This window comes from Homo sapiens, chromosome 17 (genome assembly GCF_000001405.40).
Source record: "Homo sapiens chromosome 17, GRCh38.p14 Primary Assembly".
NCBI lineage: Eukaryota > Metazoa > Chordata > Mammalia > Primates > Hominidae > Homo > Homo sapiens.
Window position 1 is genome coordinate 56,408,178 of NC_000017.11, and position 16,532 is coordinate 56,424,709.

A 16,532-nucleotide genomic window follows, 5' to 3' on the forward strand; every position below is an offset into this window, starting at 1 on the left:
GCCCACCTCGGCCTCCCAAAGTGCTGAGATTACAGGCTTGAGCCACCACACCCAGCCAATATTTAAATTATTTATAATGGTCAATCAGTTGGCCCATTATAGTATTCTGGGTGTCTCTTTGAATATTATCAAAGATGTTTATACACATTTTATCTTCCTATGTGAGTGTTTGTTAACCATATTTTCTCCATTTCTTTTCTTCGAGACACTCTAGTTAACTCTGGGTTCCTGTTATGAATTAATATAGGTATAAATTACTAGCAGTGGATTAGGATATAGACACCTGTGAAAATGGTGGACGCTCTTATGCGGACCCACCAGGGATACACTCTGAATTATCTTGGTGGTGAAGAAAGAGCAATCAGATTCTTCATTCTCAAAAACTACATTCAACTCACATATATTGCAGAAAAAGAGATGAGATGGTCAGAGATACTAAGGTTAGATTATTGGACTAATGAAAGATTTTATTTCTGTTACCTATTTCAAATTATTTACACCAGGCTAAAAAAGAGAGAAAGAAGTTTGGTGTAGTCTGTGATGTGAGCATCCTTCCTGGTTACAGAGGCAACTAGCTCCTTAAAGATCAGCATTGCAGATTCTATACAGATGATTAAATTGATGTAAAAACAAAAGTTTCTCCTCTCACTTTAGACTGGGTTTGAACGCAAAAAGTAAAAACAATAGAGTTAGAAGGCAGTCATGAGATTATGTTACTTAGAATACAAAATGGTAAATGCTTTTAAGATTTTTTTTTTTTTTTTGAGATGGAGTTTTGCTCTTGTTGCCCAGGCTAGAGTGCAATGGCGCAATCTCAGCTCACTGCAGCCTCCACCTCCCGGGTTCAAGAAATTCTCCTGCCTCAGCCTCCTAAGTAGCTGAGATTAAAGGCGCCTGCCACCATGCCCAGCTAATTTTTGTATTTTTAGTAAAGACGGGGTTTCACCATATTGGCCAGGCTGGTCTCGAACTCCTGATCTCAGGTGATCCACCTGCCTCGGACTCCCAAAGTGCTGGGATTACAGGCCTGAGCCACCAGGCCTGGCCAAGATTATTTTTATGTCTGTGTCTTATGATTTGTTTCCCCACCTTATAAGATTCCAAGAAAGGAGCTGACTTTCAGTAATCTTAAAATCTCATCCTGGGACTGTTTGCACTTACAGGAAGATAGAGCAGATGTACTTTCCCTCATTCTTCCTGCTAAATGCAACCAAAAACACTGAACATTGTACATAAAACAAGCATAAGAAGACCCTGGAAGGTGAAGAAAGAAAGCAGACCAGCTAGTGGCCTCAGAGCCTAAGAACAACACGGAGATGACTTCTGGGACTTGGAGTTGAAGAACATCTCATACTAGTGTCATTTATTTAAAAGTTTGTTCCTAAAGCCATCAAAATTAATCCTGATAGCTGACTGCTCTGTGATGAAGACAGCCTCACAGAAGTTAATCAGCATCTCTTTAACTGAGACTCAAATGGACTTCATGACCCTTGTTCCTCCTGATTGAGCCAAATTATTCCCAGACAGCTACATCATGATTATAATACTCTTAATATGCCTAGCTTTTTTCTAAAATGTTAGTTTAATAAGGGAAAAACAGGTACTATTTTTTAAACACAAGCAATCACGATTACCTTCTTCATTAACTTGAATTTGTTCTCAGTTCCTCTACTTAGCTGTGTGACCTTGAACAAGTTACTTAACCCCTCTGCCTCAATTTCTTCTTAAAATAGGAAGGCAGTGCCTCTGTTTTCAGAATCATAAAAATTGATCCACCATTACTTAATATAATATATAATTTTTTTAAAAAAACTGAAAGTAGAGTACTATTAAGCAGAAGAAAAGCCAGGCCAATTTTAAGAGGTAAAACCCCAAATGACAGAGTTTTCATTTTCTTTATTTTAATTTTATATTGTTGTATTTTTTTGAGACGGAGTCTCACTCTGTCACCAGGCTGGAGTGCAGTGGCGCTATCTCGGCTCACTGCAACCTCCACCTCCCAGGTTCAAGTGATTCTCCTCCCGAGTAACTGGGACTACAGGCATGTGCCACCACGCCCAGCTAATTTTTGCATTTTTTGGTAGAGATGGGGGTTTCACCATGTTGGCCAGGTTTCACCATATTGGCCAGGATGGTCTCGATCACTTGACCTCATGATCCGCCCACCTCGGCCTCCCAAAGTGCTGGGATTACAGGCATGAGCCACCATGCCAGGCCTATTATTATTATTTTTAATTCACAAAGAATTGCATATAGTTATGGGGTATAATATGATTTGATCTATGTATACATTGTAGAAAAATTCAATAAAGCTAATTAACATATCCATCACCTCACCAACTTATTGTTTTGTGGTGAGGACATTAAAAATCTTTTCTTTTAGCAATTTTGAAATATATAATGTATTATTAATTAACTGTGATTACCAAGCAGTGCAATAGATCACTAAAATTTTTTCTACCAGTCTCACCAAAGCTTTGCATCCTTTGATCAACATCTCCCTTTCCCCATCTCTCCATCTCCAGCCCCCACCACCGTCTCTCTGCCAACCTCTGGTAACCACCTTTCTACTCTGCTTCAGTGAGATTTATTGAAGAGATTGTCTTTTCTTGACTATATTATTCCTAGCATCTTTGTCAAAAGTCAACTGATGGTAAATACATGGGTTTATTTCTAGGCTTTCTATTCTGTTCCTTTGGTTGATGTGTCTGTTTTTATGACAATACTATGCAATTTTGATTACAATAGCTTTATAATATATTCTGAAATCCAGTTTTGTTATTTTTGCTCAAGATTGCTTTGATTATTTTGAGGTCTTTGCTGGTTTCATACAAATTTTAGGGTTGTTTCTTCTGTTTCTACCAAAAAATGACTTTGGAATTTTGATAGAGATTGCATCGAATCTGTAAATCACTTCAGGTAGTATAAATAATATTAATTCTTACAGTCTATGAACATGGGATGTCTTTCCACCTATGTTTTGTCTTCTTCAATTTTTCTCATCACTGTTTTATAGTTTTCAGTGTACAGATATTTCACCTTGGTTAGATTTACTGCTACATATTTTTATGCTATTGTAGGTAGGATTGTTTTCTTAATTTCTTTTTCAGATACTTTGTTTTTAGTGTATGGAAAAATACTAATTTTTTTAAATTTGATTTTGTAACCTACACTCTACTGAATGTATCAGTTCTACAGGTTTGGGTTCTTCTGGTGGACTATTTAAGATTTTCTATATGTAAGATCATGTTATCAGCAGAGACAATTTCACTTTTGCTTTCCTGTATGAATGTCTTTTTATTTCTTTTTCTTGCCTAATTTCTGTGGCTAGGACTTCTAGTAATATGTTGAATAGAAATGGAAAGAATGGGCATCCTTTACTTGTTCCTGATCTTAGAGAAAAAGCTTTCAACTTTTTACCATTTAGTAAGACATTAGCTGTCGGCTTGTTGTGTATGGTCTTTATTGTATTGAGGCAGCTTTCTTCTATACTGATTTTGTGGAGACTTTTTATCATGAAAAGATGTTGAATTTTGACAAGTGCTTTTACTGTATCTATTGAGATAATCATATGGGTTTCATCCTTCATTATGTTAATACAGTGTATCACATTTATTGATTTATATATGTTGAAATCCCTTCATACCCCTGGAATGAATCCCACTTCATCATGGTAAATTATATTTATAGTGTGCTGTTGAATTGGGTTCGCTAGTATTTTCTTGAGGATTTTTGCATCTATATTCATCAGGGACATTGGCCTGTAGATTTCTTTTCTTGTGTTATTCCTTGGCTTTGGTATCAGGGTAATGCTGGCCTCATAAAATAAGTTCAGAAATTATTCTCTCCTCTTTGATTTTTTGGAAGAGTTTAAGAAGTATTGGCTGTTTTTTAAATGACTGGCAGAATTCAGCAATGAAGCCATCAGATTCAAGGATTTTCTTTGATGAGAAACATTTTGTCATTAATTCAATTTCCATACTCATTTTTGGTCTATTGCCAATTTCTATTTCTTCCTGATTCAGTCTTGGTATGTTGTGTGTTTCTGGGAATTCGCCATTTCTTCTAGATTATCTAATTTCTTGGACTATAGTTGTTCATAGTAGTCTGATCTTTTGTATTTCTGTGGTATCAGTTGTAATGTCTCCTCTTTCATTTCTGATTTTATTTGTGTCTGTGATGGTTTAATATTGAGTGTCAACTTGATTGGATTGAAGGATGAAAGTATTGTTCCTGGGCGTGTCTGTGAGGGTGTTGCCAAAGGAGATTGACATTTGAGTCAGTGGACTGGGAGAGGCAGACCCACCCTCACTCTGTGTGGGTACCAACTAATCAGCTACCAGCATGGCTAGGATAAAAGCAGGCAGAGGAATGTGGAAGGACTGGACTGGCTGATCTTCTGGCCTTCATATTTCTCCCATGTCAGATGCTTCTTGCCCTGGAACATCAGACTCCAAGTTCTTCAGCTTTTGGACTCTTGGACTTATACCAGTAGTTTGCAAGGGGCTCTTGGGTCTTTGGCCACGAACTGAAGGCTGCACTGTCAGCTTACCTACTTTTGAGGTTTTAGAACTTGGACCAGCTTTATTGCACCTCAGCTTACAGATGACCTATTGTGGGACTTCACCTTATGATCATGTGAGTCAATACTCCTTAATAAACTTCCTTTCAAATACGCGTCTATCCTATTAGTCCTGATCCTCCAGAGAACCCTGACAGTGTCTTTACTCCTTTTTTCTTTGTAAGTCTAAGTAAAAGTGTGTCAATTTTGCTTATCTTTTTTAAAAGAAAACAACTTTTAGTTTTGTTAATCTTTTCTATTGTTTCTATAGTGTCTTGTTTATTTCTGCCTTGATCTTTGTTATTTCCCTCCTTCTGCTAAGTTTGAGCTTATTTCAAGTGCCTCGAAGCGTAACATTAGGTTGTTAATTTGAGATCTTCATTTTTTTTAAATCTTTCACTTCCCTAGTTAGCTGTATTCCTATGTATTTTATTCTTTCTGTGGCAATTGTGAATGGGAGTAGTTTCCTGTTTTGGCTGTTGGCTTGATTGTTGTTGGTATATAGGAATGCTAGTGAGTTTTGAACATTGATTTTGTATCCTGAGACTTTGCTGAAGTCGTTTATCAGCTGAAGCAACTTTGGGGCCAAGATTATGGGGTTTCCTAGATATAGAATCATGTTGTCTGCAAAAAGGGACAGTTTGACTTCCTCTCCTCCTATTTGGATGCCCTTTGTTTCTTTCTCTTGCCTGATTGCCCTGGCCAGGATTTCCATTACTATGTTGAATAGAAGTAGTGACAGAGGGCATCCTTGTCTTATGCCAGTTTTCAAGGGGAATGCTTCCAGCCTTTGCCCATTCAGTATGATATTGGCTGTGGGTTTGTCATATTCAGCTCTTATTATTTTGAGTTATATTCCTTCAATAGTTTTATATTGAGAGTTTTTAACACAAAGGAATGCTGAATTTTATTGAAAGCCTTTTCTGCATCTATTGAGGTAATCATATGGTTTCTGTCTTCAGTTCTGTTTATGTGAAGAATCACTTTTTTTTTTCTTTTGAGATGGAGTCTTGCTCTGTCACCCAGGCTGGAGTGCAGTGGTGCCATCTCAGCTCACTGTAACCTCTGCCTCCCGGGTTCAAGCGATTCTCCTTCCTCAGCCTCCCAAGTAGCTGGGATTACAGAGATGGGGTTTCTCCATGTTGACCAGTCTGGTCTCGAACTCCTGACCTCAGGTGATCCGCCCACCTCATCCTCCCAAAGTTCTGGGATTACAGGCATAAGCCACTGCATCCAGCCATGAATCACATTTATTCATTTGTATAGGTTGAACCAAACTTGCATCCCAGGGATAAAGCCTACTTGGTAATTGTGGATAAGCTGTTTGATGTGCTGCTGGATTCCATTTGCCAGTATTTTGTTGAGGAGTTTTACATTGATGTTCATCAAGGATATTGGCCTGAATTTTTTTTTGTTGTTGTAGTATCTCTGCCAGGTTTTGGTATTAGGATGATGCTGAACTCATAGGGTAAGTTAGAGAGGAGTCACTCCTTTGCAATTTTTTGGAATAGCTTCAATAGGAATGGTGCCAGCTCTTCTTTGTACATCTGGTGAATTCTACCAAACATGTAAAGAACAAATACAAAGCATACTCAAACTATTCCAAAAAATACAGGAGGATGGGTGGAAGAGGAGGAACTTCCAAACTCATTCTACAAGGCTAGTATTACACTTATACTATAACCAGACAAAGACACATCAAGAAAAGGAAAACTACAGGCCAATATTTCTGATTAATACTGGTGTAAAAATCCTCAGCAAAATACTAGCAAACCAAATTCAACAATACATTAAAAAGATCATTCACCATGACCAAGCAGGATTTATCCCAGGGATGTGGAGAGATAACACAGAGAAAGAACTGGTTCGACATATGCAAGTCAGTTAATGTAATATATCATATAATCAGAATGAACGACAAAAATCATATGATCATTTCAATTGATGCTGAAAAGCATTGATAAAATTCAACATCCTTTCATGATAAAAACCCTCAAAAGGCTAGGCATGGTGGCTCATGTGTTTAATCCCAGCATTTGGAAGGCCGAGATGGGCAGATTGCTTAAGTCCAGGAGTTTGAGACCAGCCTGGGCAACATGGTGATACACCATCTTTACAAAATATAGAAAAAATTAGCTAGGTGTGGTGATGTGTACCTGTGGTCCCAGCTACTCTGGGGTCTGAGATGGGAGGATCACTTGCACTTGGGAGGCAGAGGTTGTGGTGAGCCAAGATCGCACCACTGCACTCTGGCCTTGGTGACAGAGTGAGACTCTGTCTCAAAAAAAGAAAAAAAAACCCTCAAAAAATTGGGTATAGAAGGAACATACCTCAACATAATAAGAACTACATATAACAGACTCACAGCCTTTGCTGACTGGGGAAAAACTGAAGGCCTTTCCTCTAAGATCTGGAACATGACAAGGATGCCCACTGTTATTCAGCATAGTACTGGAAGTCCTAGCTAGTGCAATCAGACAAGACAAAGAAATAGAAGACAGTCAAATTGGAAAGGGAGAAGGCAAATTATCCTTGTTGGCAGGTGATATGATCTTATATTTGGTAAAACCTAAAGACTTTATACTCAGAAAAAACAAAACAACTGTTAGAACTGATACATTCAGTAAAGTTGGAAGATACCAAATCAACGTACAAAAATCAGTAGCATTTCTGTATGCCATCAGTGACTAATCTGAAAAAGAAATTTCAAAAGTAACCCCATTTATAGCAGCCACATATAAAATGAAATACCTATGGATTAACCAAAAAAGTGAAAGATCTCTACAATGAAAACTATAAAACACTGATGAAAGAAATTGCAGAGGACACAATATTGAAGAGGACACATATCCCATGTTCATGGGTTGGAAGAATCAATATTGTTAAAATATCCGTACTACCCAAAGCAATCTATAGATTCAATGCAATCCCTATCAAAATACCAATGACATTCTTCATAGAAATAGAAAAAAAATTCTAAAATTTATATAGACCCACAAAAGACCCTGTATAGCCAAAGCTATCCTGAGCAAAAAGAACAAAACTGGAGGAATCACTTTACCTAACTTCAAATTATACTACAGAGCTATAATAATCAAAACAGCATGGTACTGGCATAAAAACAGACACATAGACCAATGGAATAGAATACATAATCCAGAAACAAATCGATACACCTACAGTAAGCTCATTTTCAACAAAAAAGCCAAGAACGTACATTGGAGAAAGGACAGTCTCCTCAATAAATGGTGCTGGGGAAACTGGGTATTTATATGCAGAAGAATAAAACTAGACCTCTATCTCTCACCATATACAAATCAAATCAAGATGGATTAAAGACTTAAATCTAAGACCTAAACTATGAAATTAGTACAAGATAACACTGGAGGAAAATCTCCAGGACATTGGTCTACGTAAAAATTTCTTCAGTAATATCCCGCAAGCATAGGCAACCAAAGCAAAAATTCTCAAATGGGATTACATCAAGTTAAAAAGCAAAGGAAACAATCAACGAAGTGAAAAGACAACCCACAGAATGGGAGAAAATGTTTGCAAACTACCCATCTGACAAGGGATTAATAACCAGAATATATAAGGAACTCAAACAAATCTACAGGAAAAAAAATCTAATAATCTGATTTTAAAATGGGCAAAAGATATGAATAAGCATTTCTCAAAAGAAGACATACAAATGAAAAACAGGCATATTAAAAGGCGCTCAACATCATTGATCATCAGAGAAATGCAAATCAAAACTCCCATGAGATTATCATCTCACCCCAGTTAAAATGGCTTTCATCCAAAAGATAGGCAATAACAAATGCTGGTGAGGATGTGGAGAAAAGGAAATCCTCGTACGCTGTTGGTGGGAATGTAAATTCGTACAACCACTATGGAGAACAATTTGGAGATTTCTCAAAAAACTAAAAATAGAGCTACCATACAGCCCGGCGATCCCGCTGCTAGATATATACACAAAAGAAAGAACATCAGTGTATCAAAAAGATATGTGCACTCCCATGCTTGTTGCAGCACTATTCACAATAGCCAAGATTTGGAAGCAATCTAAGTGTCCATCAACAGATGATTGGATAAAGAAAATGTGGCACATTTACACAGTGGAGTACTATGCAGCCATAAAAAAGAATGAGATCCTGTCATTTGCAACAACATGGATGGGGCTGGAGGTCATTAGGTAACATGAAATAAGTCAGGCACAGAAAAACAAACTTCACATGTTCTGACTTATTTGTGGGAGCTACAAATCAAAACAATTAAACCCATAGAGATAGAGAATAGAAGGATTGTTACCAGAGGCTGGGAAGGGTAGTGGGAGGTTGGGGGGAATAGTGGGGGTGGTTAATGGGTACAAAATAAAAATAGTTAGAAGGAATGAATAAGACCTCGTATTTGATAGACAAACAGGATGATTATAGTCATTAATAATTTAATTTTATGTTTAAAAATAACTAAGAGTATAATTGGATTGTTTGTAACACAAAGGACAAATGCTTGAGGGAATGGAGACCCTATTTTCCGTGATATGATAATTTCACATTGCATGCCTGTATCAGGGTATCTCTTGTACTCCATTAATATATATACATGTACTACGTACCCACAAAAGTTTTTTAAAATACATAAATTTAAAATCCCTTTGTTCTTTGTGTTTGTTGGAAATTCACTGATGCCTTGTCCCTGCTGTTTCTCAAGCAGGGTGACTTAAGAGTCAAGCCCTGCAGCAGGGACTATATAGTCAGGCACTATATGTGTGGTACAAGTCCCTGTCCCCTTGGGAAGAAGCTGGGAGTTGAAATTTTCTCCCGAGTTTAAGGCACTGTGCCCAAGGTAGGGTTAGTGCATGAATGTATCTGCCTTTTTTCTACCCATTTTGTTATGGATATTTGCTCAGTCACCCAGTGTGCAGGAGTCTTTCAACTGGATTCCAGCTTTCTCTGAAGAGAATTGATCCATGTGTAGGTGTTTATTCAGTGTGTCTGTGGGAGGAGGGATAAGCAGGAGCTTCCTATTCCATCATGTTGCTGACATCACTCTAGACTTTCCATTTTTTTGCCCTGTGTTATAACTGGGAGCCTACTAGAACTCTCTGAAGTCCACCTTCTTTTCTTTCTTCAAGGCGTTAGGTCTTAAGATAGTTTTGTTCACACAGGAGGATGAGCACTTCTGGGATGCTTCGTCTTTTCTACATGAGTGTTTTCTTGAATCAGAAGATACTCTGTCTGCTTTACTAGTCAGGGGCAGGGAATCTAATTTCTTTCAACTTTTATTTGAGGAGTCTTCTACTATCCAATAGAAATCGTTTGGCAAAACTTCCCCAGGACTTTTAAGTACATTTATTTGATCATAATTATTAAGTGGTTTCTGGAGGCATCCTTTTAAATAAGACCTCCCTTTATTTCCTGATGTTTTGTTCTTCCACATTTAAATAATCGAAACTATTTGACACTGTGGTGATAAATTCTTTGTTATTTGGTAAGGAATTAACAAAGGCGAAGGATGTGTCTGTGTTGATTTGATGTTCTTTGAGATCAGAGGATAAAAATTTGGCCTTATGGATCTTTTGCTTACATTGCCTGATATAATTCTGGAAAATCAAAACCCCGTAACAGTTTTTTAAAACTGGGATTAAAATGATTTTAAGAGAAGCCCCTTTGTTTTAAAACAGTAAGAGTAATGCAGAGTGAAGAAAAGAGTAAAATAAAAATGAAAATGTTCAAGTCGATTTTCTTAGAAGTTTTGCTTAAGATGGCAGTGTGATGAGATCTTAAAAAGCTACAATAAAATCATAAACACTAGAAGCCATTTAATATATATGCGATAATAATAAAAGAAAACCCCAGGATTCTGGAATTTAATAATAAAATTAAAGCAGAGATTATCTGGCCCAATTTATTCTTTTAAAACTGAGGAAACTGAGACCCAGAAAGGTGAAGGGACTTTCTCAAGGTCACAAAATTATTTGGCAGAGCCAGGACAAAAATGCAAAACTCCTGACTCCCAGTTCATTATATTTCCCCTACAGCATACTACTTTCTAAGTTAAAAAAAAAAAAAAAAATCACAAGAAACCACAGAGAGTCCGAAGCCTAGGCTAGGAACTTCAGGGGTTAATGCACCTTGCCCAGGATCTGCGCAATTTGTAGAACTGAGGTGAGATTTCTTGAGTTTGCAGAAGTTAAACATTCTCAACAAGAGAAGCTTGGTTCAACTCCGATCTCAGGGGGATTAGAGTAACATGCTGAGAACTCTTAGGACTTTGCTACTTCTACTGGTTCACACCTCAGCCCTTAGATGTCTGCATTTTTAACTGAGTTGACCATGGGAACCAACTCATCAGGTCAGAATCTCCAGGCAGTTGGCCAACCCCCAGTCAGTGGATAGGAGCAGCCCACTGGCCTTTCTTCTCCATGGCCCTGCCATGATGTTAAGATATAAATTTGGGGCCAGGTGCAGTGGCTCACGCCTGTAATCCCAGCACTTTGGGAGGCCGAGGCGGGCAGATCACCTGTGGTCTGGAATTCGAGACCAGCCTGACCAACATGGCGAAACCCCATCTCTACTAAAATTACAAAAAATTAGCCAGGTGTGGTGGCAAGCGCCTGTAATCCCAGCTACTCAGGAGCCTGAGGTAGGAGAATTGCTTGAACCTGGGAGGTGGAGGCTGCAGTGAGCCGAGATCCCGCCATTGCACTCTAGCCTGGGCAACAAGAGTGAAACTCCATCTCAAAAAAAAAAAAAAGAGATATAAATTTGGGTCAAGTATGATGGCTCATGCCTGTAATCCCAGCACTTTGGGAGGCCAATACAGGAGAATTACTTGAGGCCAGGATTTCTAGACCACCTGAGGCAACCTAGCAAGACCCTATCTCCATGAAAAATAAAAAACAAAAAAATCAGCCAGCCATGGTGGCACATACCTGTAGTATCTACTACTACAGCCTAGCTACTCAAGAGGCCTAGTTACTCAAGACGGAGGATAGCTTGAGCCCAGGAGTTATAGGTTACAATGAGCTATGTGCTCCAGCCTGAGCAACAGAAAGAGACCCTGTCTCAAAAAAAAAAAAAAAAAAGAAAGAAATAAGAAGAAAAATATAAATTAAATAATCTGATTTTGCTCTGTATATGGATTCCCTTTAGCATAACCAGCTTCATGGGGCAATGACTACATGGGTCCATAGTCCTAAATAGACAGACAATCTTTTAATAACCTGGTTCCCCATACCTTTCCAGCTTCATCTCCTACCATTTATCCTGCAGTCTACGGCCAAATCCCCAGAGCAGCTCATGTTACCTTGGTATATATAATCTCATATACACTCATGCCTTCATGCCATTGCACCACGTTATTCCCTCTGCATGACATGCCTTTCTACCTCTCCCCAACATCTAGACTGAATAAGTGGCTGCATAGATGAATAGATGGATGGGAAATGAATGAAGGAATGAATACATATAATTTAAGGAGCACTAGAGAACCTGCTGACTTAGAGGAATTCTAGCTCCCATTCAAAAAAGTAAAATTACACCTCTATTATCTTAATAAATAGTCTCAGCATCCTTGTGGGCCACACCAGTCTTGTGATTATCACCTATGAGGTCTATGGCAAATAGTTAAAATAATGGTTATGATACTAAAGTTGGAGTGGCAAAGTTGGCAAACTATTTCTTTTGTTTTTTAATGTTATGGGAAACTAAAGGTTATCTATATAATATTACTTTTACTCACTTGCATTCTGATATACTATCTTTAGTATGAAAGCAGTGAAATTATACCTAGGGTGCAGGTAATTGTGCATAACCCTGGATACATCAATAGGAATTCAGCATATATGAGAACCCATAATTATTTATGTGTGCTGAAAAATAAAAGCCTGGAAACTCTGTGGCAGAAATTAATATTCTATGTTGCTTCTTCTGACTCCTTCTTTTTTTTTTTTTTTTTTTTATTGTTGTTTTCTTTTTTTTTTGAGACGGAGTCTCACTCTGTCGCCCAGGCTGGAATGCAGTGGCGCGATCTCGGCTCACTGCAAGCTCTGCCTGCCGGGTTCATGCCATTCTCCTGCCTCAGCCTCCCAAGTAGCTGGGACTACAGGCGCCCGCCACCGCGCCCGGCTAATTTTTTTGTATTTTTAGTAGAGACGGGGTTTCACCGTGTTAGCCAGGATGGTCTCGATCTCCTGACCTCGTGATCCGCCCGCCTCGGCCTCCCAAAGTCCTGGGATTACAGGCGTGAGCCACTGGGTCCGGCCGACTCCTTCTTTTAAAATGAAAATATTTGTGTGCTGGGGGGCGGGAATAAATAATTAAAATACAAAAATGAAAATGGTCTCAGGGCCTGTTTCTGCCCTTACCATTAATCACACTTTGATAAAAAGTAGTTTATCATTAGAAGTATCTATAATTTTTAGTTAGAAGTGTTTTCCTCTGTGATAGCTAGGTTCAGAGTTTTGATGATGGAAGAAGGCTGGAAGGTAATTCTGGAAGCTTGGCACAATGGTGCAAGACAGTGGGCTTAGTTAGAGGAATGAGATGCCTCAATGAGGAACACATAGGCACTGGGTGAAACGTATGTCAGTTCTGGATGAAGGCCAGAACAGGCAGAGAGGTCTAGAAAAAGGGAGTCGGAGGGTCCCACAGACAACTATTAACTACCTTGCCATCTTCCTCCTCTCATTCATCTGATGCTCATTCAATGAATAGGGCACAAACCCAAACCAATGGCACTAGGCTCTAAACGCTGATACTAAACCTCTTTGGCATCACTCTCCCTTTAAGAAACTTGGCCATCATGGCTTTGTCTGCCTAGGAAAAATACAAAACAAAGCAAATTCTAATAATGCATTAGTACGCATACCCTGTATATTTTGTCCACAACACTCAGAAACCAAGCTTTAGACTTTCTAGAGGTCCACAGACTCCAGATTAAGAAGTCTGTAATCGATTAAAATTTGCGAACCCTTCAAAAGTTTGTCAAGGATTTTTCATATCATTATGTCATTTAACGACCCAATCAGTGAAATACCGCCTCATTTTACTCATTAGGAATCATAATTTCACTCTGGTTCATCAGAATATATTCTGTCTTTATATACATGGAAAATATCTTGGAGAGTCAATAACTGATATTAGCATGCCTCTGGGACACGAGCTAAGGGGGGATATAACCTTTTGCAACATTTACATTTTTTCCATGCGTGATGTCATATTTCTTTTTGAAAGAAATATGTCAGATCTACCACTTTCACCTGTATTTTTATCCCTCTCATGGGTGAAATGATGAGTACACTTAGAAAAATCAGATATTTCCAAAGTCTTCTGAAAATAAAAACTAATTTTATCCAAATGTATATATAATTTTAAAACCATGTGCCTCCTAATACTAGTCAGATAATTTGTGCATAAATTATGCATTTTAAAAGTGAGTTTCTTTGCAACATGTTCACACTGCACCTTGCTAACGCATGGTACTTATATCTGTCACAAAATGTTTTATTGGGTTGTCACAAATGTTTTATTGGGTTTCCTTGGCCTTTTACTTGTAAATTGATTTTCCTAGCCTTATTGGACCATGTGGTTTTATACCAAATATTTTGATAAATACTAAAATAAACAAACTTTCATTTCTTCATTCTCCAGTCCCAGGCAGCATTTAGCCAAACCCCCACCCCTGCTGCCACCACACACATGCATGCACACACATGCACACACACACGCACGCATGCACACACGCACATACACACACACACGCATGCACGCACACACTTCAACTACTTCTCTGAATATGCTGCTACAATTTTTAGATAAATATTCAGTATCCAATGTTGGCAAATGCTTTTTGAAATTCGAAACCTTGAAGCGCAAGATCCTCATTACTTTTTTTTTATTTTAAGCCTTCAGATGAGGATGATGAACGTTTGATAAACCCTTACCATTCAAAATAACTTGAAATAAATTATTGTGGTGACCATTACAATGCCCTGAAATTCTTGATTTCACCCTTGACCCAATGCTAAAAATGTTTTAGCATTTTCCACTAAAAAAAATGGAGGAATCTGTTTCATAAAGAAGATGGCCAAAGCCGCATAACTCTTTTTAACTCTGCTGGACTCTAGCTTTTGCTAGACCACGTGCTTGGTCTGTAACTATAGTTGTTTGAGACCCCAAAGTCCTGGTGCTGCCCTAGGAGGGTGAAAGCAACCATTGGTCCCTGCAGCAGAGTTCTCCAGGGACTGCTGTCAACACAACTGCAGTCAGATGATGGGACTCAAACTTTTGTCAACACCATCCAGCAATTATTCTGAGGAGATTCCTTTTAGTAACTAAATTGAAGTTTAAAAAAAGTGTAGATATGTCACTATTCTCATGTAGGGCAATCCTTCAAGGGAAATCTAGGTTATTTGTTCAGTGTTGATAGTGAATGAGCTGAGCAGATCACCCCAAATATTACAGACCAAAGGCTCTACAGAAAGCAAGTGGGCTGGAGCCACGCACCACACAGACACGTTGGGTCAACAGGAATTGAAGTCAGAGGTTGTATAGCTAAGTTGTGGCAATTCCTACTCCTACTAGCTAGCAGTGGGCAAAGTCCTTGAAACAGTATGAGAAGCAGCTCGCTGATTTGAAATATGAGTAAGAACAGCAGAGCTTGTAAGATTTAAATGTCTCCAATGACCCTCCTTACACCAACACTGGTCATCAAACTAAACCAGGAACTGATCACCTCATTCCCTTGCTCATAAACCTTCAGCATTGCGTACAAGGCCTTCCGCATATCAACCTATCCCTCAGCCCCTACGTCTTGCCTTCCTCTTCTTTCTCTTCTGCAGTACATCCATTTTTTCACATGATTGTGCCCAAATTTTTCAGCTCTCAATCTCTCTCCCTGGAATGCCCCAAGATTGAGTGAAATCCTACTCAATCTTCAAAACCCAGACCAAATGTTACCTTCCCTTATCCCATCTTCCTCCCTGCCCCAACTTAGTTGGTCATTGGCACTTCAGCAACAATTTGCTCATGTGCCTGTTATAGGGAGCATCACATTTTTATTGTAATTATCTGTATCTTTATCCATCTGCATGCTGGGCTATGATAATTCTAGGGCAAAGATAAATTCTTATTTTTGTTTACATCCCTGTCACCCACCAATCTTAATGATGCTCAGGAATGTATTGGCTTTATATGTAGAAACCTGAGTACATAAAGATGTTTTTAAACTGGAAAGTGTCATTAAAATGCAGTAATTACTATTACTGAAGGTGGAGAACCTAAATAAAAGGAGAATTTAGTCTCAGAGTTTTATACTTGAAGAAACTGGTGTTACAATCCTTCTAAATATAGATGCTACAGATTTTTCTGGAGTCCCACAGGGTAGAAGGTGGGTGCACTAAGGGGTGACACCCTTAAAGACATAAAGCTTTACCCTTCATCATGGACCTGCACTGATCTATAGAACTGTATCATCCCTCAGACTTACTCAAAATGAAAACTTACAAACCTGTGTACCTCCATGATTCCTTCTCTACAACTGCTGTTTTCGTCACTTTTGAGTACATGCTGAAGTTTCATTAAACTGTGTGAGAAGGAGGCACTGGATTTTGAACCCAGACAGACCTGGGTTCAAAATCTGGCCCTCGCATTCATTCACAGTGTGTGCTCTCAGTCTGGCAAAGCCTTAACTTCACCTCTAAAATGAGAAAAATACATAACATGGTTGTTGTGAAAATCAAAGGAGAAAAATGTGGAAGAAGGTGTCACAAAGTAAAAATGTTATGGAACTGCAAGGTGTTACTCTTGTAATGAGAAGTAGACAGTTAGCCCCAGTCTGCCCTTCCTTGGTTGCTTCATCCCCCATATCTCTCTCTTGGATTCCTTGCAGAAGAAGCAGTATGAATGTACATCTGGCTGGGCTTGGGTCTGCTTTTGCCTGACGGAGTATTTGCTCCAATCCCTAA

The 16,532-nt window shown here is 38.7% G+C and overlaps 1 protein-coding gene across 15 annotated transcripts in view; it reads left to right on the top strand.

The window, feature by feature from the left end:
- Positions 1-16,532, top strand: part of ANKFN1 (ankyrin repeat and fibronectin type III domain containing 1) — a 470,940-nt gene that overhangs the window by 362,101 nt on the left and 92,307 nt on the right. The window contains exon 1 of one of the 15 annotated variants that reach the window (XM_011524433.3): positions 4,385-4,638. The exons of the other annotated variants lie outside the window; for them this stretch is intronic. The gene's annotated coding sequence lies outside the window, so the exon portion shown is untranslated. Of the gene's footprint in view, positions 1-4,384; positions 4,639-16,532 lie in introns of those variants that run through there. 15 annotated transcript variants of the gene reach the window in all.